General features: G+C 39.1%; 1 protein-coding gene across 11 annotated transcripts in view; it reads left to right on the forward strand.

Annotated features, from left to right (window-relative positions):
* TMEM45A (transmembrane protein 45A) overlaps positions 1–24,595 on the forward strand; it is an 84,826-nt gene that overhangs the window by 31,368 nt on the left and 28,863 nt on the right. The window contains exon 1 of one of the 11 annotated variants that reach the window (XM_047448423.1): positions 31–188. The exons of the other annotated variants lie outside the window; for them this stretch is intronic. The gene's annotated coding sequence lies outside the window, so the exon portion shown is untranslated. Of the gene's footprint in view, positions 1–30; positions 189–24,595 lie in introns of those variants that run through there. 11 annotated transcript variants of the gene reach the window in all.

A 24,595-nucleotide genomic window follows, 5' to 3' on the forward strand; every position in this document is an offset into this window, starting at 1 on the left:
GCTAATGAAATAAGGATCACTTAAGGAGGGAGAGGAGACCTCTACATTAGCCTGCAATAGTCAGATCATACTTTTGGAAGGAGAATGTCTGTGGGATTCACTCATAGAAACCCTGGAAAGTTTCCACTGGAGGAGAAAGAAATCTAGATGGCAAGCTGGCTTGAAGAGACTTGTTATGTGTGGCTTCTGTGAGTGCGGGAGGATGGTGGGGGAGACTGCCTTCTCTATCCTGCTTCTTTCATTCAAAAGACAGCATGATCTTGGGCAAGTGCCATGACATCTCCAAACCAGTGTCCTCATTTATAAACGTGGTTCTCATAATACCTCTCTTACCAGGGTTGATATGATAATTAAATGACATAATTTATTGTTGTATGAAAGAATCTAACATAGTAACTACTCAACAGATGTTAATTTCTTTTTCCTTCCCATGTATCTTTTTTCTCTTCCTCTTTTCCTTCTCTTTTCCCTTTCCCCTGCCTTCATACATCAGCTCTTTATTAGGTAAGTAATATTTGTCAGGCATCCTGCAAGTTTTACATTGTCCAATATGGTAGCCACGAGCCACATGTGGCTATTGAACAACTGAAATGTAGCTAGTCCCAATTGAGATGTGTTGTAAGTGTGAAATACACACAGAAGTTGGGGTAGTTAACACTCCACCTTGTCCCCACACCATTTCCAGGGCATGCTTTCCTATGCGCAGGAGACTAGAGGCATTTTGAGTCTGTGGAGGCTTTTCCTATAAAAAGCCAGTCTTTGATGGGTTTCTGAGGTGGTCTTCAATTGCTGACCAGTAAGCTCACCTTCCTTCCTGCAATGACATTTTTATAAATGACAGTCTTGCTTTTAAATTCCTAGTATGTGGTCTTAATTTCCACACAAGTCTGGAAATGTTGACTTAGTACAAAAAGAAAAAAAGGCCAGGCATGGTGGCTCACACCTGTAATCCCAGCACTTTGGGAGGCAGAAGCAGGAGGATCGCTGTGGCCAGGAGTTGGAGACAAGTCTGGGCAACATAGTGAGACCTTGTCTTTAAAAAAATAAAAAAATTAGCCGGGTGTGGCAATGTGTGCCTGTAGTCCTAGCTATTTGGGAGACTGAGGCAGGAGGATAACTTGAGTCCAGGAGTTTGAGACTGCAGTGAGCTATGACTGAGCCACTGCACTCCAACCTGGGCAACAAAGCAAGACCTTGTCTCTGAAAAAAAAAGAAAAAGAGAAAAAAATGGAATGCCAACTATCTCATTAATAATTTTTTTCTATTGAGCACATATTTAAATGACAACATTTTGGCTATATTTGGTTAAATAAAATATATTATTAAGCTTAATTTCACTGGTTTCTTTTTACTTTTAAAAATGTGGCTACTGAAAAATTAAAATTACATATGTGTCTTGCACTGTGTTTCTGTTGGGCAGCACTTTGTGGAGCTTATGTCTGATGGGGGGAAGGTAGAAAAGCAACAACAGCAACAGAAAGATATTTTAAAAATAAATGTAAAAAACAACAAATACAAAATTACACATTGTGATGCATACTGTGAAGACAAGTTTCTATGGAAAGGAAAATGAGAAGACCTAACTTCATTCAGCTGGCCCATGGAAGGCCTCGCTGAGGAAGACACATTTGTGCTGTGCCTTGAGGGAGGCTCTTCCCACAGAGTTTCCAGCCAAAAGTGGAGACAGAGCATTCCAGGTAGAGGAAACAGCCTTCCGGGGAGTATTTCTTGAGATTCCCAAACACTTGTGGTCAGCAATGGGGAGAAACAGACCCATGAAGGGTCCCCTGACTTTTCAGAGCTTGTGGTACGGGGAGACAGGCAGGACAGGCATGTGCTCTAGGCTACAGGGATGCGACAAGTAGTACTGGCTCTGGAAGCACTTTTCCTTCCTTTCTTCTCTCTGCCTCTGAAGCGTCACTGACCACAGTCCTGCCCTTGGAGGTCCCTGGGCTGGTCTGTTCTTCCTTCATGGTGGGTAGTGAATAACACTCGCATTTGTCCCTTGATTCCTTGTTCTCTCCCGCGGCTCTGACTCAGACTCACCATCTGGGAAATGAGCGTCTGCAGCAGCCACTTAACCAGTTTCCTTGCCTCCAGCGTCTTTCTCCCTTTCATATACTCTGTGTGACGCTGCCAAATTAATCTTCCTGAAATACCATTTAGCCCGTGTAACTTCCCTGATAGCACCCTGCTGCTGGCAGAGGAGCTGTGTGCTGGGAGCTTCTGGACGTCTCTCACTTTTCACCTTTACCTTTTCCTTCTATGGGCAATGACACCGTTTGCAGAGAAGCATGTTCTACTGCCAGCCTCTTTAGCTTGAGGAACTCTTAAAGTCTCATCTTCAGCCATCTTCCCATATTTCTACTCTTGCCTTGCATTTTCTTCTGGGCCAGGCATACTTGAGTCATCATTCTTTAAATGCTAAGGGCCACTACCTCCCAGGGAAGAAAGAATATTAACAACAGCTCAGGTTCTGGCATCCATCAAACTAGCTTCAAATCCCAGCTCTGCCATTAAACTAGCTGTGGGAACCTTTTCAAGAAGTCATTTATCTTTTCTAAGCCTTAGTTTTCTCATCAGTTGACACCATGAGGCTAAAAGTAATTTGTATCCCTTGGGGTTGGGTTCTTTAGATAGTACTGCAGATAGACTTAAGGCAAGTTAGCCATAAAGAACTTTGTTATTTTAGATGGAAAAAAATTATCTGCCAAAAAAATTCTAGATTTTCTTTTCTCTTTCGAAATCCATTAGTTTTAGATTGCAACAGACTGGTCACAACTCCAACAAATTAAGCTACAAAGAACAGACTGTCTTAGAGTCCCCTAAGTAATTAAGCAAGATCCTTTGCAAATTAGGAAGCTTTAAGTAGAAGGAAGAATCTAGTTCAAGGTTGGCTTTTATATTTGCAGTCACAGGCACAAAGTGAGTCCATGTGGCTATAATCATGTTTCTGAATTTTTTGGATGAAGACGTAAAAATCTCATATCCTCTATTTATGTCCGTATTTTAAAATAGGTATTTAAAATACATAAATGTAATTTAAAATTATAATATATATGCTTTTTGGGACACCACCTACATCAGGAATGACTGAGCAAGAGACCGCCTTTCTTTCTATTGATCTCTTTGGAAGATGTAGTGTGTAGCAGTTAGTCAACAAGAGAGGACTATGACACCTGGTCCAGAGTTAGTGCACAATAGATATTTGTAAAGTGAGAATAAATGAGGGTCAATAAAAAAGTATTTCAAAAACTCCCTTATGGTGACTGAAATGTCTATAGATTACTGCAGTATTTGATGACAAGACAAGAAACAAAACTCCAACAAGAGTTCAAATGTCTTGTATACTATATTTTAAAAATCTGTTCAAAGGAACAAGGTGAATATAGTGCCATCATTCTCAGCTACCCTCATGATAGTCCTTCTTACTTTGGGCCCAAGACTTTGGCCTTTTTTTTCTATTTGCTCAGAACCAGTAAAAATCTAATGATTCAGTGACTGTGGTTACAGAATGCTGGGAATTGTGATGAGGTTGGGAGAAACATTGGAAACTGTCCTTGACCAAGGGTTCCAACCTTATGAAATATGAAATAGACCTATTTTTAACATCTGAAGATTTCCAGATCTCTCTCCATCCTGTCCTGCAATTTTATTGTGGGTGTTTTAGTATCTGTTGATTGAGAAGAAAGATATACCAGTTCATGATGACCTCTTGCAATGCAACTTTGGCCGAGGAATCTTCAGTTCACCTGATGGAACCACTAACATTTTAGACCAAATTTCTAATTGTATTAATGAGGCACAGGACCACTTTTGGTTTAGGAATAGCCCGGGTATAATTCAGAAAAGCATAGGATGTTCAAATAGAGATTTGAAAATATCCAGAAGTCACAACCAAGACAACTCAGGACACCAGATAAGACTGGTGTTGCTTGAGAAATCTTCACCCTGAGCTGTTGCAGTGTTCATTACTCAATGGAAATCCCTTCACGGATCACCACATAAAATGCAGAATGCTTAGTGAAATTTGAATTTTGAATAAACAACACGTGCACTATATGGAACATACTTGTGCTCAAAAACTACCTGTTGTTTATGTGAAATTTAAATTTCACTGGGTGTTCTACACTTCTGTTGTTGCTAAGTATGGTCACTCTACCTTCAGGTGTCCACAGTGGTGCCAAGGGTTGAAGGACAGGAACTAAAAACATGGGTTGTATTCCAGCATGACTGTCAACATAGATTACTGATGCATTTTCTGGGAACCTTTCGCATCTCTAAGTCTGTAAGGCTCTATATTTGGTTTTCCCAGGGATCCTTGTTCTCCCTCAGGGGTGTGCAACCCAACCTGGGCAGTGGCAGCCCAGAAGGAAGTTGTTGATTTATTCTCTTGGTTCATTTTCATTTACTTTGAGGTTTTGTCATGAATTTGTATACCTGACCTTCTGTGAAGTGAGGGCAGAATCGAAGGTGGGGATTTCTTGGGGCTGAAGTAATGACTTTAAGGGTGAAATCAAGGGACAGAGGAGGAGGCAGGATGGAAGGAGACTTCAGCTCACTTGGACCCCTTGTTTTTTTCTGTACAGGAGTCAGAACATTTTCCGAGAAGCATGGCAGACTAGAAACTCTCCACCTTTTCTTGTCTAAATTTGAATTTAAAGGAGATTGGAATTTAGCTGCTCAGCTCTCTTTTTTTTAAACACAGTTTCCTTCTCCCTCTATAAGCTAAGTTTAAAAGAAAAGCTGGCATTGTACTGTTTTTTAAATCATTTATTTAATTTATAAATGAAATATCCTAGGATTTTAAATTCTGATTGTAGAATCAATGAATTTATTCCAAAAGCATGCAGAACACTATGACAGAGCCAAAGAAATAGCTTATTTTAATGAACATTCACATTAAAAATTCTGTTTCCATAAAGGCAGAGCAATGTAAAAAAATGACTTTCATATGAGGCCTTAAGGGTCAGATAGTTTCTGTTTTATAGGAGATTGGAAAGAAAGCACTGCAAATGAAGCTCCTATTTGTTGGATGGGCTTTTCTCTCCTACCAAGGACAAGAATTTTGAAGGTTCATTTTATAAAGTTGTATGGTGGTGAATGCCATTGTTTCCACACAAACACTCCTTTCCCCCATAAGACCTCAAATGTTTGGTTGTGCAGGGGGATTTAAAATCAGAGAACATGAAGAAATTAAAAATGAAGCAATTAGTTGTAGGCTTTAACAATTAACAGAAAAAAACCAGGGGCTAGAAGGCAGTAGCATATGAGTTTGAGAAACACTGCTTTACCTCATTCTTTCTTTCACTGGGCATTAGCTAGTCCCACACTCAGCATAGCCTTGATTCAGTCATTTAACATTTTAAAGTGCAAGCTTGGTGCTTGAATAAATAAGCAGCTCCTGGGTAGCGGGAAGAGATGGAGACTCAAAGAGGTCATCTCAGCATAGTGTGGGAGGCCATGCTGCAGCGAGGGGATGTGCAAGCGCTGTGGGGGCATAGTGGGAACAGCCTAAATCAGACTGGAAGTTCAAGATCAAGAGAAGAATCACCTCCAAGACTAGACCTTTGGGTTGTAACTGCTCCCTTGTGAGTCTTGGAGTCAAAACCTCAGATTTCTCAGGCCAGCCTTTATTTTTACTTTTATTTTTGTGATAGGGTCTCATTCTGTCACCCAGGATGGAGTGCAGTGGAGTGATCTAGCTCATTGCAACCTTTGCCTCCCAGGCTCAAGAGATTCTCCCACCTCAGCCTCCTGAGTAGTTGGGACTACAGGCACGTGCCATTATGCCTAACTTTTGTATTTTTTTGTACATATGGGGTTTCATTATGTTGCCCAGGCTGGTCTCAAACTCCTGAGCTCAAGTGATCCACATGCCTCGGTCTCCCAAAGTGCTGGGGGTTATGGGTGTGAGCCACCATGCTAGGCCAACCTTGATTTCTGATATTTTGTTCTATCAGAACAACATGTTTACGTGTACAGACCCTGTACAGAAAGACCGTGTCTCTGCTCCTTGGCTCTTCCATCTCTTTTTATCCTTCCCAACTTTTTAAATGGAAAATTTCAAGTATATATAAAAATAGAATAGTATAACATACTGATTACCCCGTTTCAACAACAATTACTAACTCATGCCAACTTTGTTTTATCTATTCTTCCATCCATTTCTCCTGTCCCCCAGATAATATTTGTATAAGTTAGGGTTCTCTAGAGAGACATAACCAAAAGGTTGTGTGTGGGATGTGGAGAGGGAGATTTAGGAATTGGCTCACACAATTTTCAGGGGCTGGCAAGTCTGAAATCTGCTGGCCTGGAGCTGGGGACCCAGAGGGTAGTTGATGTTGCAATCGCAAAACCAAAGGCAGTTTTGAGGGAGAATTCATTCATCCTAGAGAAGACCTCAGTCTTTTAAGACCTTCAACTGATTGAATGACTCCTGCCCCTCCAGCCTCCATTCACCAGTATAGAGGGTAATCTGCTTTACTCAAAGTCTACTGATTTAAATGTTAATAATATCTAAAAATATATTCACTGTAACATCTAGACTGGTCTTTGACCAAAAGCTGAGTTATGTTTTAACCAAATTGACACATAAAATTAACCATCACAATTTTGAAGCTAATCCAACTTATCACATTATTTGATCCATAATACTTTAGTATATATCTTTATAAAATAAAGATTCTTTAAAAAATGTATATGGAATACTATTAGGACCCATATGAAATTAAACATCCTGAATTATTTTTGTTTGAATTAGGATCCAGATAAAGCCCATACATTGCAATTACAGATATGACTCAGAAGTCTCTTTTGATCTGTGGATTTGTTCTTTATCTCTTTTTTGTTTTTCTTTGAGTTCATCTGTTGCAGAAACTATTTTGTCCTGTAGAATTTTGCATCATCTGGATTTTACTGATTGCATTCCCATGATATAATTTAAATGTTCCTTTGTCCCTGTGTGTCCCATAAATTAGTAATTATATAAATAGCTTGCATCACACCCAGGCTTTTTTTTTCCTGCAAAAATACATTGGGTGTATCTTGTTGAGTTGTCTCTCTTTCAGATGTCAGCAGCCTTTGATTAACATTGTTTGACTCTATTAATTTATTAGGGTATGTAAAATTCTAAATTCGATCATTTCTTCTTGCATTTATGCATTGAAATATTTCTGTAAAGAGTAATTTGCCCTCATTAATTATTTCATTATAGTTTTTCCTAATTATTTATCTCAGCGTTTCCCAAATTGGGACTGATAAACTCCTGGAAATGTGCTGACATGTTCTTTTGTGTGTGTCTGCGTGAGTGTATGTGTGTGTGTGTGTACATGGTCTGCAAGCTTTCTATTATAATAATATAACTCAGCATTTTTATCTCAATAATGATTGAGAAACATTATAAGTATATCTGGATCACCTAGATGATCATCTATTGAAGTTAAATCAATGAACTCAGAGCTGGAGTTTGCATTTGTATTTAGGATCATGAGGATAGCAAGCAGCACTGCTTTAATTATCAAGGGTTAAGGAAGAAAGAAGATGGGCTTAATATGCCAAGTCACTTTTCAGTGGCTATTAGCTTGAATAGAGAATCAACTAGAGCAATTGAATTGCTATCATGATGGTAGTAAGCAGCACTGCTTTAATTATCAAGGGTTAAGGAAGAGAGAAGATGGGCTTAATATGCCAAATAACTTTTCAGTAGTTATTGGCTTGAATAGAGAATTGAATAGAGATTTATGCCCCAATTTGGGGCATACAGTAATTACATATTCTGTACCAAAAAGATGATACTTTGTAGCTGTCAGTACCATAATGATGCTGGCGATTTATTTTAGCAAAAATCATTTTTTGTTATATTTGAGATGCATTCGTTTATTTGATTTTTGCTGGGTTTGTAGTTTTGCTGAATTTGTAAATTTGTTTCATTTTTACAGTTGTCCATGTAAATACTTCTACTATTTAAGAAAGTTTATAATAGAAGTGATTTGGGCCAACATACTGACTCTGAAAGAATAATTTTTTCCTTTTTTGAAGATCTTCACATTACTCAAGTTTGAGAAGTGCTGCTTTATCCCATTCTTGCTTTCATAGGACTATTAGCAAGTCTCACATTCAGCATAATTTGTCCTGTTAAGGAGTGATCTCTGCTCAGAGTACTTGGAGTCAAATGGTGTGTGCCTACAGATCAACACCCTGGAACACTCAGAGAAAAAGAGCTGTATTTATGAAAAGGTATTTTGGTGCCTCCTGCTCTCCCCGACATCATGTTAAACCAGAGAACAGAAGCACTTGGCTCCTTCTGCATCTTTGGCTGGTTCCTTGTAAGGCCTGATAACTGGAGAGTCTTAGGCTGTACCTACACATTACTGTAACAACTTTTTGGAAAGATAAAAACCAGAACAAAAGTCATCTACAGCAGGCTTTTCCGGCTTTAATGTACTTAACAGATCATTTAAAAATGCAGATTCTGAGCTCTGACTCTCTCAGGTGATGCGGCCGGCCCATATGCCATTCGTTGAGTAACCTGAGTCTAAACAACCAACTGCTTTGTCTTTATGCCATGATCGTTTTATTTTCCTAGGATAATACATAGAAAGCTGTCAGTACAGTATTTGATACAGAGCCAGCATTTGATAATTGTTCATTGTTCTTGTTATGGTTGTTATAGTTGTTACGGTGAGTTTTTGAGGCATGGAGATGAGTGGAAATGATGAAAGAGAAGATGGGAGTTTAGAGATTGACAGGCCTGAATTAAGATCCCAGCTTTGCCATTTGTAAGCTGTTTGACCTGGGCAAGTTTTTCAGCCTTTCTAAGTCTCTCTCTTGTCAAATGTTAAATGGGGAGAAAAATAGTACCTCAAGGAATCAAGAGGATGCTATGCAGCTCCTAGAGAGATGGGTATTTGATAAATGCCATTTTTCTTCCTTTGTTCCTTTTTGGACATAGACTTGGGGCTCAGTCTTGGTTCTGTGACAACACTATTGTGAGTTGCATTATAATCCCTATGAAATGCAGCTCTTTCTCATTATCTTTAAAGTGGGGATAATAATTATGATGATTAAATTAATGGGTGCATGTAAAATGTCTTGGTACATAATAGGAGCCCAGTCATTACTGGCCTCTCTCTCCCCTCCCTTCCTTCACTTAGCGATGCAGTTGGCGAGGTCAACCAAGCTTAGGCACAGCTTTAAGATAGGGGACCCATGGTTTCAATTTCAGTTGACTAGAATAATCTGGAGATCTTACAAAAGAAAAAAAAAAGATTCCCAGGCCTTACCCCAAGAGACTCTGATTTAATAGGTTCTGGGTTGGGATCAGATACCGTGCATATTTTTTATGGTTCTCCCAGATGTTTTGTATAGGCATCCAGGCTGAGAATCACGGCTCTAGTAGACAGCTAAGCCTTGATCACTATCAGATGGCTCTTAGCATTCCTCACGTCTGCACAGCACAGCACACCACACCTTTTCCACCCCCAGCTCCAGCCTTTCTGATTGTTTCTTCCTACACACTCCTGTTTTTGTGCACTCCCATGAGAATGCTGCAACTTTGCCCTTCCCTTGGCACACTGGGGTGAGCACTTCTGGAACCCATCACAACCAGGCAGGGCAGGGGAGCCTGAGCTCAGCATGCCTCCCAGCCCCACCCTTCACACTGAGACACACAGAAATCCCTTTGGGTTCCTGCCTGAGGAAGAAGACACCCCTCTGGAGAGCTTTGAGGCATTTGAAGGAGAAACAAACCTATGACATGAGGCAGTGCCTACTGTGTGGCAAGAACTTTACTTGTATTATGTCTGCTTATCCTTTATGAGGTAGTTTTATTGATATTGTCATTCTCATTTTATAGAAGAAATTGAGGCAAAGTTAAATAACATGCCCAATGTCAAGCGCACAGTGGTCTTTGTATTAGAGTAGTCTGATTCTAGAATCTGGGGTCTTAAAAAAATGACGCCTGGGTCCACTCAGACTAATTGAAGGAGAGTCTCTAGAGATTGGGCCCTATATACTGGTATTTTTTATGAGCTGTTCAAGCCAAATGTGAGACCTAGACAACACTTTGCTCTTCTGTCTCCCAGGCTGACTTGGAACCTGAGTCTATAGAGATTCCTTTTATTCCTGTTCTCTTCTTCCCCTCTTCTGTTGGCGATTTAAAAATTTTTTTGTTTTCATGCTTGTTAGAGATCCTCGGTCTGACTGTCATTCCTAAGAGGGTTGTGATAAGCTGAATAATGGCCTTCAGAGATGTCCATATTTTATTTTCTGGAAACAGATAATATGTTACCTGATGCAGCCAAAAGGATTTTGCAGACATGATTAAAGTTCAGGATTTGGGGCTGGAGAGATTATCCTGGATTATTCAGGTAGGCCCAGTGGTTCTCATAAGGAGGGAGGCAGGAGGATCGGACTCAGAAGAAGGAGATGTGGCAAAAGGAGAAGGGGTCAGAGTCAGTGAGAGAGATTTGAAGATGCCATGCTGCTGGCTTTGAAGATGGAGGAAGAGGCCTGGAACCCAGGAACACAGGAGGTATCTAGAAGCTGGAAAAGGCAAGGAAAGGGATTCTCCCCTGCAGCCCCGAGAGGGAACGTGGCCCTGCCAGCACCTTGATTCTCCATCTGTGAGACCCATTTCAGACTTCTGACCTCTAGAACTGTAAGATAATAAACTTGAGTTGTAATTAGTGGTAATTTGTTAGACCAGCAGTGGGAAATTAAACCAGGGGTATTTGGTGCTGTAGAAAGTGCACTGTCCTCCAGCACCCCAGAGAACTGGATTCCATTTCTGCACTCTACCATTCACTGGCTGTGAATAATTCTGGCAAGCCACCAGATGTCTTTAAGATAAGCTGTTTCTTCTGGGAATTAGAGCCAAGAAACCAGATGTCCTTGAGGGCAGGACTGGGCTGATGACCTCACACACCTCACAGATGCACTCCCTGCCATAGCCTTGATTCTTCTGCTCAGCTCAGCTCTGCACTTCCCAATAGGAACCACTGTTCTCGCTCCCTCAAACTGAGCCTGAGCTCTCTATCATGTTGTCCTGGGTTATTTTACCACTGGCTGAAATTATTTTGTGTGTTAACTTGTCACAGGCACTTGCTAAAATCAGGAGGCACTATTTCCTTGGCTGGGCCTTTTTTTTTTTGAGATGGAGTCTCACTCTGTCACCCAGGCTGGAGTACAGTGGTGCAATCTCGGTTCACTACAACGTCCGCTTCCCGGGTTCAAAGGATTCTCCTGCCTCAGCCTTCCGAGTAGCTGGGATTACAGGTACCATGCCTGGCTAATTTTTGTATTTTTAGTAGAGATGGGGTTTCACCATGTTGGCCAGGCTGGTTTTGAATGGCTGGGCCTATTTTTTTAAGAAATTAATTAAAAATTAACAATGAACTATAAATTTCCCAACACCAAGAGACCGAGAGACCAGAGTTATTCTGTTGGCTTTTCCCCTCCACTCCAGTCAAAATTGCACAATGTTTTGATATCACCTCATTGGCTTCAGACTCTGCTTTTGTGATTTATTTGTTTTTCACAAACTTCTCCCTGCCCTACTTCCAGTATTTGAGGGTGGACATGGGGCATTATGTCTAATTGGCCAGCTCTTTCAAAAAGGGGAGATATTCTAGACCTTTGTATGACTGTACCTAGTGCAAATATAATTGGTAGTGATGACATCCAATCATAAGTCCTTGGCCTCATATATGCATATTTAATACTAAGTCTCTTTATCCTTAGTAGTAATATTAAACCGCAAACTTGAGTGACTTTTGTGTGAAAGTTTTCTCATGGGAATTGTGCAAACTTCATTTTTTCCAAATGATGTTCTGTTTGTTCTATTAGTTGCTGTACCTTATCTTTTGAAAAAAGTGAACATGATCTTGGTTGTACTTAGTTGGATAAAATAGTTAACAGCTAAGTTTGTTACATTCTTTTTTCCTAAGAGAAAAGGGGAAAAAAAGTCTTGACGTTAAGGGGATTTCACCAAGGTTCTCCTAGAACAATGTTTCTTAACTAGTGACAAGAGTGAGAATTTGCCCCCCAGGTGACATTTATCAATATCCATAGATATTTTTGGTTGTCACATCTAGGGGGAAGGTACTGCCAGCATCTCGTAGTTAGAAGCCAAGGAGGCTACTAAACATCCTACAATGCACAGAACCCCTCACCCTGCCCCTGCACCAAGGAAGTAAAGAATTATCTGATCTTAGATGTCAATAGTGCCATTGTTGAGAAATTCCATCCTGGATCAGTGTTGCTCAAACTTTAATGTGCATATGAGTCACTTGGGGATCTGGTTAAAAAAGATTCTGATTTGATAGGTCTAGGTGGCCCATGAGAGTCTGTATTTCCAACCAGCTCCCACTTGGTGTAGCCACTGCTGGTGTGAGTGCCACAATTTGAGTTTAAATGTCCTAGAATTCTTGTTTCTTATCTGTCTTCCTACACTAAAAGATAAGTTCCATGAGAACAAAGACCTTGTCTATGTCCTGTCCGCAATGGCTAGAACTATAACTGGCATATCATAGTTGTTTAATAAATATTTGTTGAAAGCATGAATGGATCCATGGAGGAATTAAGAAATGAATAAATAAGCAGACAGGCAGGAGCACTGCTTATTCTCACACGTACCTCTGAAGAACCTTAGAGGCACTTATTCTTAAAAAAACTGAATTTCCTCTCAACAAAGCCAGAAATTCACCAACAGCTTTGCTCAGGGCATGACAGTCTTCCTCAGGTTAAAAATGGTCTCCTTTCTCTGATGTCTCACATTGTCCCTTTCGATGCAGTTCCACTGGATAGATGGTTGGGCTGATAATAGAGGGAAAAACCAGAGGCCCAAACCCTGGCCCCACACCCCAGCCTGTCCCAAGGTGAAAGGCCTAGATTCAATCATATTTGTTTGTATTTTGGCAGTAGGGGGAAGGAGGAAGTGGGGATTTTTTTTGAGATGGAGTTTTGCTGTTGTCGCCCAGGCCGGAGTGCAATGGCACGATCTCGGCTCACTACAACTTCCGCCTCCCAGGTTCAAGTGATTCTACTGCCTCAGCCTCCTGAGTAGCTGGGATTACGGGCACCCCACAACCATGCCTGGCTAATTTTTGTATTTTTAGTAGAGACGGGGTTTCACCATGTTGGCTAGGTTGGTCTCAAACTCCTGACCTCCGGTGATCCGTCCAGCTTGGCCTCCCAAAGTGCTGGGATTACAGGCATGAGCCACCATGCCTGGCCAGAATAGGTTTTTAAAGGAAAATGAGGTTAGATTGAATTTCATGGTGTAACCTCTGGGGGAAAGACGTCTTCTAGTGGGCAACAGGGAGCTGAGGGGTGGGGAGAACCGGATGCTGGTATAGTTTGTACACCTGTGAGCTTTGGGAACTCAGAGATCTATTAGCCTCAGTTGGCAAATCATTTCCTTGTTTTTGCTCTCTGGGCCTCCATTGATTGCCCTTGTCTTCCACCTTCCGCACACAAGGAAATCCAAACAAAGCCATTTTGGAATCCTATCTAGGAGTGGCTTTCCTTCCCAAGGTGGTCCCTGTGCTCTTGTAGAGAATTTGCTCAGAACCCAAAATACGCTCCAGTGTCCTCCTGAGAATTGGTTGTGTTGGGCAGAAGACAGAAAGGAGAGAGAAGAGCAGGATGACAGGAAGAGGAGTAAAGAAGAGGCAAAGAAGGCGAGGCCATAAGAACAGGGCCACAGGGCATTCTCTGTAGATTGGCCCAGGAGATAGCCAAACGTTCACACAGGTGTCATTGTCACAGAGCTCTTGACAATAGCAACTCTCTCCTTTAGAAGCTGTGATGCAAGTGAATGTGTCAGCCCTGCTGATTCAGGTGTGGTCACTGCATTTTGACTGTACATTGTTTTGTAAACTTGTCAGGCCCACTGGGTGCCTGTGACTGCGCTGAACCAAAGAGAAACTGAGAAACAGCTTTCTCGTCTGGGTTGGGAGCCAGTAGAGTAATACCGGGTTTGGGAGTCCTGCCTTTGAAGCAGTTCATCAACACTGAAGAATGTTCTGCATCTTTCCTGGGACCTATAAGGGATTCAAGATTGCTATAAGGAAAGGTCAATAGAGAGTGAGATTTGTTTGTCATCAGAATGGGTTATTAAAGCACTTGGAGGAATTTACCTTTCTGGATGTCTTCAAATAGAAACTAGATTCTTGTATTATGGGATGGTTTAAGGGCTCTCAGAGGCAGAGAGATGTATATCCCTATCATATCCCATCTTTGCTCAAAAATATTCTATTGCTTCTTATTGTTCATAGGATAAAGTTTAAATTTCTAAAACTGGCATTCAGGGTCTTCTATTATTTGGCTCTAAACCTTTCCTAGGTCTTTCTTTTTTAAAAGATAAGTTAAACACAAAACAAAACAAACAGAAAGCAGCAAACTAGGAATAGAGAACTTTCTCAACTTGATACAGAATATCTACACAAAACCTACAGCCAACATCATACTTTAGTGGTGAGAAACTAGGTGTTTTCCCCTTAAGACTGGGAACAACACAAAATGTCCCGTGTCATCACTCCTATGCCACATCCTACTGGATGTCTTAGCTAATGCAGTAATATGATAAAAGGGAATAAAAAGTATACAGACTGGGAAGGAAGAAAGAAAACTCTCTTTGTTCACAGATGGCATAATTGTTCATGTAGAAAATCCCAAACAATCAACAATAGCAGCAAAACCCTTCCTGGAACTAAGTGATTTTTAGCAATGTTTTAGGTGACAAGATTAATATATAAAAGTTAACAAAAAGATATAAAATTAAAAAAATATAAAAGTCAAATGCTTTCCTATATACCAACAATGAACAACTGGAATTCAAAATTAAAAATACAACATCATTTACATTAGCACCGAAAAGGAAAAGATTTAGATATAAATTTAATAAAATATATATAAGATCTATATGAGGAAAACCATAAACCTCTTATGCAAAAAATCAAAGATCTAAATAAATGGAGAAATATTCTATTCTGTTTATGAACAGGAAGGCTCAATATTGTTAAGATGTCATTTCTTCCCAACTGATCTATAGATTCAATGCAATCCCAGTCAAAATCCCAGCAAGTTACTTTGTGGATATTAAACTGATTCTAAAGTTTATATGGACAGACAAAGGACCCAGAATACGCCAACATGATATTGAAAGAGAAGAACAGAATCGTAGTACTGATACTACCTGACTTCAAAACTTATTTTAAAGCTTCAGTGATCAAGAAAGTATGGTGTTGGTGAAAGAACAGACACATAGGTGAATAGAAGAGAATAGATAGCCCAGAAATTTACCCACATAATACAGTCAGCTGATCTTTGACAAAGGGGCAAAGGCAATTCAGTAGTGAAAAAATAAGTCTTTTTAACAGATGGAGCTGAACAACTGTATGCCCACAGTATTAGGGTTCTCCAGAGAAACAGAACCCAATAGGATATGTATATGTATATGTATATGTATATGTATATGTATATGTATATGTATATGTATATGTATACGTATACGTATACGTATACGTATATGTGGGGAACCATTATGGGAATGGACTCACACAATTATGGAGGCCTAAGTCTGAAGGCCTGATAACTGGAAGGCCTGCTGGTATAAGCCTCAGTGTCCAAAGCCCTGAGGACCAGGAGCTCCTATGTCCAAGGGCAGGAGAAGACGGATGCCTCAGCTCAAGAAGAGACAGTGAATTCACCCTTATTCTACCTTTTTGTTCTATTCACGCCCTCCATGGATTGAATGATGCCCACCCAGGCAATCTTCTTTACTTAGTCTACCAATTCAAATGCCAATCTCTTCTGGAAATGCCCTCTCAGACACACTCAGAAATCATGTTTTACCTGCTGCCTGTGCATTTCTTAGCCCAGTCAAATTGACACATAAAATTAACCACCAAATCTACATGCAGAAAAATGAATCCAGACATAGACCTTACCTTTTTCATAAACATTAACTCAAAATGGATTATATACCTAAATGTAAAATGCAAAAGTGTAAAACTTCTAAAAGATAACAGAGGAAAATCTAGTTGCTCTTGGGTGTGGAAAAGGGTTTTAAAATAATATATCAAGAGGACAATCCATGAAAGAAAAAATATAAAAGTTAGATTTCATTAAAATTTAAAACTTCTGTTTTTTCATTCTCTTAATGGTGTCTTTCACCATTTTGAGTTAATTTTTATGGAAAAAGAAAGGTCTATGTCTAGATTCATTGTTTGAATATTAATGGTGAAAGACACCATCAAGAGAATGAAAAGACAAACCACAGACTGGGGAAAATGTTTGCAAAACATAAATCTGATAAAAGACACATATCTAAACAATATAAATGGCTCTTGAAACCCAATGACATGAAAACAACTCAATTAAAAAGTGATCTGAACAGACTTCTTATCAAAGAAGGCATACAGATAGCAAATGAGCATATTAAAAGATGCCCATCATCATATGTCATCAGGGAATTGCAAATTAAAACAACAGTGAGATACTACTATACACCTATCAGGAACGCTAAAATCCAAAATACTGACACCACAAAATGTTGATGAGAATGCGGAGAAACAAGAACTCTCATTCATTGCTAGTCGGAATGCAACATGGTACAGCTAGTTTGGAAGACAGTTTGGCAGTGTCTTACAAAGATAACATACAATTATCTAGGAGCACCATACAATTCAGAATTGTGCTCCTAGTATTTATTCAAATGAATTGATAACTAATGTCCATACAAAAACCTGCACATAAATATGAATAGCAGCTTTATTCACAATTGTCAACGATGCACAAATATATCCTTCCATATGTCTTTTTGGAGAACAATTTATTTTCTTTTGGGTATATACCCAGTAATGGAATTGCTGGGTCAAATGTTAGTTCTAAGTTCTTTGGGAAATCTCCAAATGCTTTCCACAGGAACTGAACTAATTTACATTCCCACCAGCAGTGTACAAGTGTTCCCTTTTCTACAAAGCCTTGCCAGCATCTGTTGTTTATTTGACTTTAATAATAGTCCCTCTGACTGGTATGAGATGGTATCTCATTATGGTTTTGATTTGGATATCTCTGATGATTAGTGATGTGGAACATTTTTTCATATGTCTGTTGGCCACTTGTATGTCTTCTTTTGAGAAGTGTCTGTTCATGTCTTTTGCCCACTTTTTAATGGGGTTATTTGTTTTTTGCTCATTCGATTGTTTAAGTTCCTTGTAGATTCTGGGTGTTAGACCTTTGTTGACTGAATAGTTTGTGAAAATTCGCTCCCATTCTATAGGTTGCCTGTTTACTCTGTTGGTGGTTTATTTTGCTCTGCAGAAGATCTTTAGTTTAATTAGGTCCCACTTGTTGATTTTTGTTTTTGTCGCAATTGTTTTTGGGGACTTAGTCAAAAATCCTTTATGAAGGCCAATGTCCAGAATGGTGCTTCATAGGCTTTCTTCTAGGATTCTTATAGTTTAAGGTCTTACATTTAAATCTTTAATCCATCTTGAGTCAATTGTTTTCTTTTTCTTTTCTTTTCTTTCCTTTTTTTTTTTTTTTTTTTTCTGAGACAGGGTCTCACTCCTGTCACCCAGGCTGGAGTTTGATGGCACGATCATGACTCACTGCCGCCTCACCTTCCTGGGATGAGGTGATCCTCCCACTTCAGCTTCCTGTGTAGCTGGTACTATAGGCAAGTGCCACCATGCCCAGCTAACTTTTTATATTTTTAGTAGAGACAGGGTTTTGCCATGTTGCCTAGGCTGGTCTTGAACTCCTGGGCTCGAGCAGTCTGCCCACCTAGGCCTCCCAAAGTGGAGTTAATTTTTGTATGTAGTGAAAGCTAGGGGTCAAGGTTCATTCTTCTGCATATGGCTAGCCAGCTATCCCAGCACCTTTGTTGAATTGGGAGTCCTTTCCCCTTTTAAGTCCTTTCCCCTTAGCTTATTTTTGTTGACTTTGTCAAAGATTAGATGACTGTACATGCATGTTTTATTTCTGTGTTCTCTATTTTGTTCCATCGGTCTATGTGTCTGTTTTTATACTAGCATATGCTGTTTTGGTTACTGTAGTCTTATAGTAAAGTTTGAAGTTGGTCAGATAATGTGATGTCTCTGGCTTTGTTCTTTTTGCTTAGGATTGCTTTGGCTATTTGGGTTCTTTTTTGATTCCATATGAATTTCAGAATATTATTTGCTAATTCTGTAAAAAATGACCTTGGTAGCTTGATAGGAATAGCATTGAATCTGTAGATTGCTTTGGGAAGTATGGCCATTTTAATGATATTGATTCTTCCAATCTATGAACGTGGAATGTTTTTCCATTTGTTTATGTCATCTATGATTTCATAGACATATGAATACTAGAAGGATCGTAGAAGAAAACCTAGGAAACACCATTCTGGATGTTGGCTTTGGGAAAGGATTTATGACTAAGTACCCAAAAGAAATTGCAACAAAAACAAAAATCAATAAGTGGAACCTAATTAAACTAAAGATCTTCTGCAGAGCAAAATAAACTATCAGCAGAGTAAACAGGCAACCCACAGAATGGGAGCAAATTTTCACGAACTATTCAGTCAACAAACATCTCCAAAAAGACACATGCACTCACACATTCATCACAGCACCATTCACAATAGCAAAAACATGGAACCAAGTGAGGTGCTCACTGGATTGGATAAAGAATTTGTGGTACATTTACATCATGGAATACTATGCAACCATAAAAAGGAATGAAAATCATGTTCTTTGCAGCAACATGGTTGCAGCTGGACCCATTATCCTAGGTGAATTAACATAGGTACAATAAATCAAATACCACATGTTGTCACTTATAAGTGGGAGCTAAACATTGGTAATACATGGGCATACAGATGACAATAATAGGCATTGGGGACCACTAGAGGAGGAAGGGAGGGAGGGGACAAGAGTTGAAAAACTTACTGTTGGGTACTATGCTTAGTACATGGGTGATGGAATCATTCATACCCCAAACCTCAGCATGATGCACTATACCCAGGTAACAAAGCTCCACATGTATCCACTGAATCATATATCCACTAAAATAAAAATGGAAAAATAAAAACAGTACATAAATTGCATCAAAGTTTACCACTGTTTTGCAATTTGCATTTCTCACTGAACCTAATGGTTTCAAAATTCATTCCTGTTTGTAAATATAGATATACTTCTTTTATTCAAAAATCTTTTACTGGTAGTATTATATTCTGTTGTATATATATTACATCATATTATTTATTCATTTCTCTATTGATGGATGTTCAGATTATTTCCAACTTTATGTTACTACAACCAGTTGCAGTAATGAACTTTTTTTGACATATACAAGAGAGCATGTATAGGAATTTTGGGAGAGTACACACTACACATCGAATTGCTGGATTGTGTCATATGTGCATTTTCAACTGTCCTAGCTACTGCCAAATTCTTGGCAAAGTGTAATAGTAATGCCATTTTGCACTTTTAGTAGTGTATGAGTGTTCTTGTTTCCTCATGCCCTCACCAACACTTGATATAATAGATTTTTTAAATTTTGCAATAAAATAGATGAAAAATACCTGTTTTTAATTTGGTTTTCTTTGCTTTTAGTGAATCAAGGATCTTTTCATGTGATTATTGGACAATTAGTGTTTTGCCTTGTGTTGAATTGTCTATTCTTATTTTTTACCCTTGGGGGAGCAGTTTTTCTTTTTCAAATTGATTCCTAATTAAAAAATTACATTCCCTAGTACTCATCCTTTGTCATTTATGTTTATTTCAAATATTTTTTTCTGTCTGTCATGTATTTGAAAACTTTATTTATGGTACCATTGTGGGAGAGGCATAGGGCCAAGGATGGGTATGAATCCCGGTTCCGTTACTTATCACCAGCACAACCTTGGATATTTTAGTTAATCTCTAACTGTATTTCAGTTTCTTCATCTGTAAAATGGGGGCGATAGCATTACCTATTTCAGAGGTTTGTTTTGAAGATTAAAGGAGTTAAGATGAAGAGCACTTACATAAATGAAAAGTGGTACACAGAAAGCAGTCAATAACTATTAGCTAATATTTGGACATATAGAAGTTTTAAGTGGTTTTTTTTTTTGCTATTATACAAGGTAGATTTATTTTTTTTGCTTTTGTACATGATAAAAGTTTGATTCCATCTCACATAAAATAAGATATGCAGGGATGGAGTGGTGGATCCACAGTCTTCAGGAATAAGCCTCTTTTAGGTGCACTGCTCCTATCCCCTAGATGTGAGTCTTATCTGCATAATCTGGGATAATTGCCAAAGCATTAACCATCATAACCATGTTCCAGCCTTCCAGAGAAGGAAGGGCAGAAGTGATATTTCTTCCCTTCTTTTCAATCAGCTTTACTGAAGTGTAATTTACATGCAATAAAGTTCACATCTTTTAAGAGTATAATTTGATGAGTTTGGGCAAATGTATATGGTTGTCTAATTATTGTCACGATCAATATATAGAATATTTCCATCACCTTGAAAAGTTCCCTAATGCCCTTTGCAGTCAATTCTATTCCCTTTACCTGGAGGCAACCACTGATCTGCTTTCTATCACTACAGTTTTCTCTATATTAGAATTTCATATAAATGGAACTATGCAGTAAGTACCCTTTAGTGTCTGTTTTGTTTCATGTAACATAATGCTTTTGAGATTAATTCAGGTTTTTGCATGTATCAGTAATTTGTCCCTTTTTATTGTGGAGATGTATCATAGTTTGTTCATCCATTCACATGTCAATGGGTTATTTCCAGGTTTGGGTTATTATAAATAAAGCTACTATGAGGATCCATGTACAAGTCTTTGTGTGGACATCGTTTTCATTTCTCTTGGGTAAATACCTAGTGAGGATTGCTGGGTCAAATGGTAAGTGTATGTTTAATGTTATAAAAAGTGACAAGCTGCTTTCCCATGGGGCTGTTCTATTTGTGTTTCCACCTGCAGTGTATAAGAGTTCTAGCTGGTCCACATCCATACCAACACTTGGAATTGTCAGTCTTTTAAAATTTAGCCATTCTAGTGAGTGTGTATTGGTTTTTATTATTTTAATTAGCATATCCCAAATGACTAATGATCTCGAACATCTTTTCATGTTTGCCATTTGTATACAGAAGTTTTAAGTTTTGATGTGGTCAACTTCCTCAGTCTTTTTCTTCATTGTTTTGCTTTTTGTATCTTGTTAAAAATTTTTTTCTTATCCCAAGGACATAAGGATGTCTTCAAATATTTTCTTCTAAAAAGTTTTAAAGTTGGAATTTCATAACTAGGTCTTTAATACACTTAGAATTTATTTTTGAATCTGATGTGAGTAGGGAATCTAGTTAAATTTTTATCCATGAATAGAAACTCAGTTCTAAAAACATTAATAATTTTTCCATGGATTGGTAATTTATATTGTCATTTGTATCACTCACCAGCTTCTCATATGTGTATAGTTTCTAGCTGTATTTTTCATTATCTCCTACCCCAGTGACTACAATGTCTCCTGCATGTTCCTTCCAATGTGAGTTTATTTATGCTCTTCCTTATGTCTAGGGTGACTCCTTTTTGTTCTACCTTTCGAAATCCACTCATTGCTCAAGGTCTAGCTCAGATGACCTTTAAAGTTCTTCCCAAATCCAGTCATATGCCTCTGTCCCTCCCTTGAATTAAATGAAGGGGCTCAGCACACGTATAGCATTTTATTCCTCTACTATAAATCTTAGCCTATCTTTTTGGAATCACAGTCACTTCTGTGTCTGTCTTCTTTGTTCTGCCAGACTGTAAGCCCTTTCATGTTTTTGTGGTAACTGCCAGACTGTAAGCCCTTTAGTGTTTTTGTGGTAGGCAGAACAGTGTTCCTACCTGCCTATGTCCTAATTCCTGGAACTTGTGAATATATTACCTTACTTGGCAAAAGGGACTTTGCATATGTGATTAAATTAATGACATACAGTGAAGAGATTATCCTGGATTATTCTGGTGGACTCAGTCTAATCACATGAGTTCTCAAAATTAGAACCTTTACCAGATAAATTCAGAGTCACAGGAATCCATGGTTAGGAAGTGGTCAGAGATGGAACATTACTGGTTTTGAAAATGGAAGGAGGGGGGCTATGAGCCAAGGAATGGAGGTGGCTTCTAAGAGCTGGAAAAGGGAAAGACATGTATTCTCCCTTACAGCCTCTTCAATGGGACATAGCAGCAGCCTAGGTGGCACCTTGGTTTTAGGGATAGGCATGTAGGGGCAGCTTTGCTGACACCTTGATAGCCCAGTGAGATCTGTGTTGAATATCTGACCCATAGAACGGTAATATAATAAATGTGTGTTGTTTCAATGTACTAATTTTGTAGTAGTTTGTTACAGCAGCAATAGAAAACTGATATATTTGCTCACCATAGAGTCCCCTGTAACTTGAAGCAGATCCTTAGATACAAAGTGATAAATCATTGCTCACTGAGTTGAATTGTGAAGCAACATGTACCTTGGAACTACAGAATGAAAACTTTACGTTCTTACTACATCATTAATGATCAGTGTGATGCTTATCACTAGCATCTAGACCTTTGTCAATCCATGACAAATGAATGACAAAGACCAGTTTTCCTTATCGTTAGCAGTCCTATGCCCTCTGACTTTGACTACAGTGGTGGTAAGTAAATACTGTTGGCTCTGTGCAAAGCTTTACCTCCTTAACATGTGCTGGCAGCTCAGTGGTAGAAAGGAACAGAAGGAGATGCCTTTTTCCCTATGTTATTTAACCTACTCAAGGTACTTGACTGAGACCCTTTGATGGGGCCATTGAAAAGTGTTTTCTAGTCTTTGTTCTTAGGTAAGGGATTTGGAGTCAGACATACAAGGACTTTGAAATCCTGGCTCTGGTCTTCGTTAACTCTGTGACATAGAGTAGGTCACTAAATACCTTGGAGCTTTGGTTTTCTTATATCTATGGCAGAGATAATAATACAGTTGACCCTTGAACAATGCAGGGGTTAGGGGTCTGGCCACCCCTTGCAGTAAAAAATCCAAGTATAGATTTTTACTTCCCCCAAACTTGACTGGAAGCCTTTTATAAACAGCCAATTAACACATGTTTCATATGTTATGAAATGTAGCTTCATTATATACTGTATTTTTTTTCTTTTTTTTGAGTCAGAGTCTTGCTCTGTTGCCCAGGCTGGAGTGCAGTGGTACGATCTTGGCTCACTGCAACCTCCGCCTTCCAGGTTCAAGGGATTTTCCTGCCTCAGCCTCCTGAGTAGCTGGGATTACAGGTGTGTGTCATCACGCTGGGCTAATTTTTGTATTTTTAGTAGAGATGGGGTTTCAACATGTTGGTCAGGCTGGTCTCAAACTCCTGACCTCATGTTCTGCGTGCCTCAGCCTCCCAAAGTGCTGGGATTACAGGTGTAAGCCACTGCACCTGGCCTATGTACTGTATTCTTACAATAAAGTAAGCTAGAGAAAAGAAAATGTTATGAAGAAAATCATAAGGAAGATAAAATATATTTACTATTCATTAAGTGGAAGTGGATCATCATAAAGGTCTTCATCCTTATCATCTTTATGTTGAATAGGCTGAGGAGGAGGAGGAGGAGGAGGAAAAGGAGGGGTTGATCTTTCTTGCTGACTTGGGGGTGGCAGAGGCAGAAGAAAACCCATGTATAAGTGAACCAACCCAGTTCAAGCCCATATTGTTCATGGGTCAACTGTATTTCCTTGAGTTGTTTTAATGATAAACAGATGTATGTATGTAAAGTTATTAGTATACAATAGGTGTTCAATGAGTGCCTTCCTTCCCATCACAGGTGCATCACTACTGACAAACAATCCAGACTTCTATTTACTTTGAAGAGTTAGTTACAAGCAGGTGATGCCATATGACATTTGTTCTTAGTTTTTGTTTTTGTGTTTTATTTTTAAAGACATAAGTTTTTGGATTGCCTCATCCTTTCTTATATTTCCAAGTTTAGGGTTCTTGTCATTTTAGATGTTTGGTTAAGAATAGCTGATGTTCCGTGGATGGTTTTAGTTATTTAAACATTGAGAGGGGTTGGTAGTGGGAACAATAGGCAGAGGTACAGGAGAGATCAAAATAAGATAAAATAAATAAGGTAATAGCACTCTAGAGTGGTTATTTTCTTCTGACAGAGCTTTATTATCATTCTGGCTTTGGGAGCAGCTGCTGAGACACTCATCTCTGGTCACATGCTAAGCCTAATATGAATGAACACATCCGGGCTTATGACACTGACAAGAGACAAATGGCCTCTGGAGTACAGAGATGGGGAAGTTGGATTTAAATCTCAGTATCTTGATGCTACTCTGTTTGTCTCCACATGCTCATTCAAATAGCATTCCTGTGTCTTGGCACTATCATCTGCAAAAAGAAGAGACACTCATCCTCTTATTTGGAAGGCTGGGCTTGCTAAGCTGAGAGTGAACGAGAAGCTCTCTTGCAGACCAGAGCTCTCACTTCTTTCTTGATTTCACCTAACTGCTTTCCACTGTTGAGAAGCTTCCTTTCCACTGTCCCCTGGTCACTGCGGGCTCCTCCTCTACAGCACTACTTTAGAACGATCTCCTCCATC

Source organism: Homo sapiens, chromosome 3 (assembly GCF_000001405.40).
Source record: "Homo sapiens chromosome 3, GRCh38.p14 Primary Assembly".
Taxonomy (NCBI): domain Eukaryota; kingdom Metazoa; phylum Chordata; class Mammalia; order Primates; family Hominidae; genus Homo; species Homo sapiens.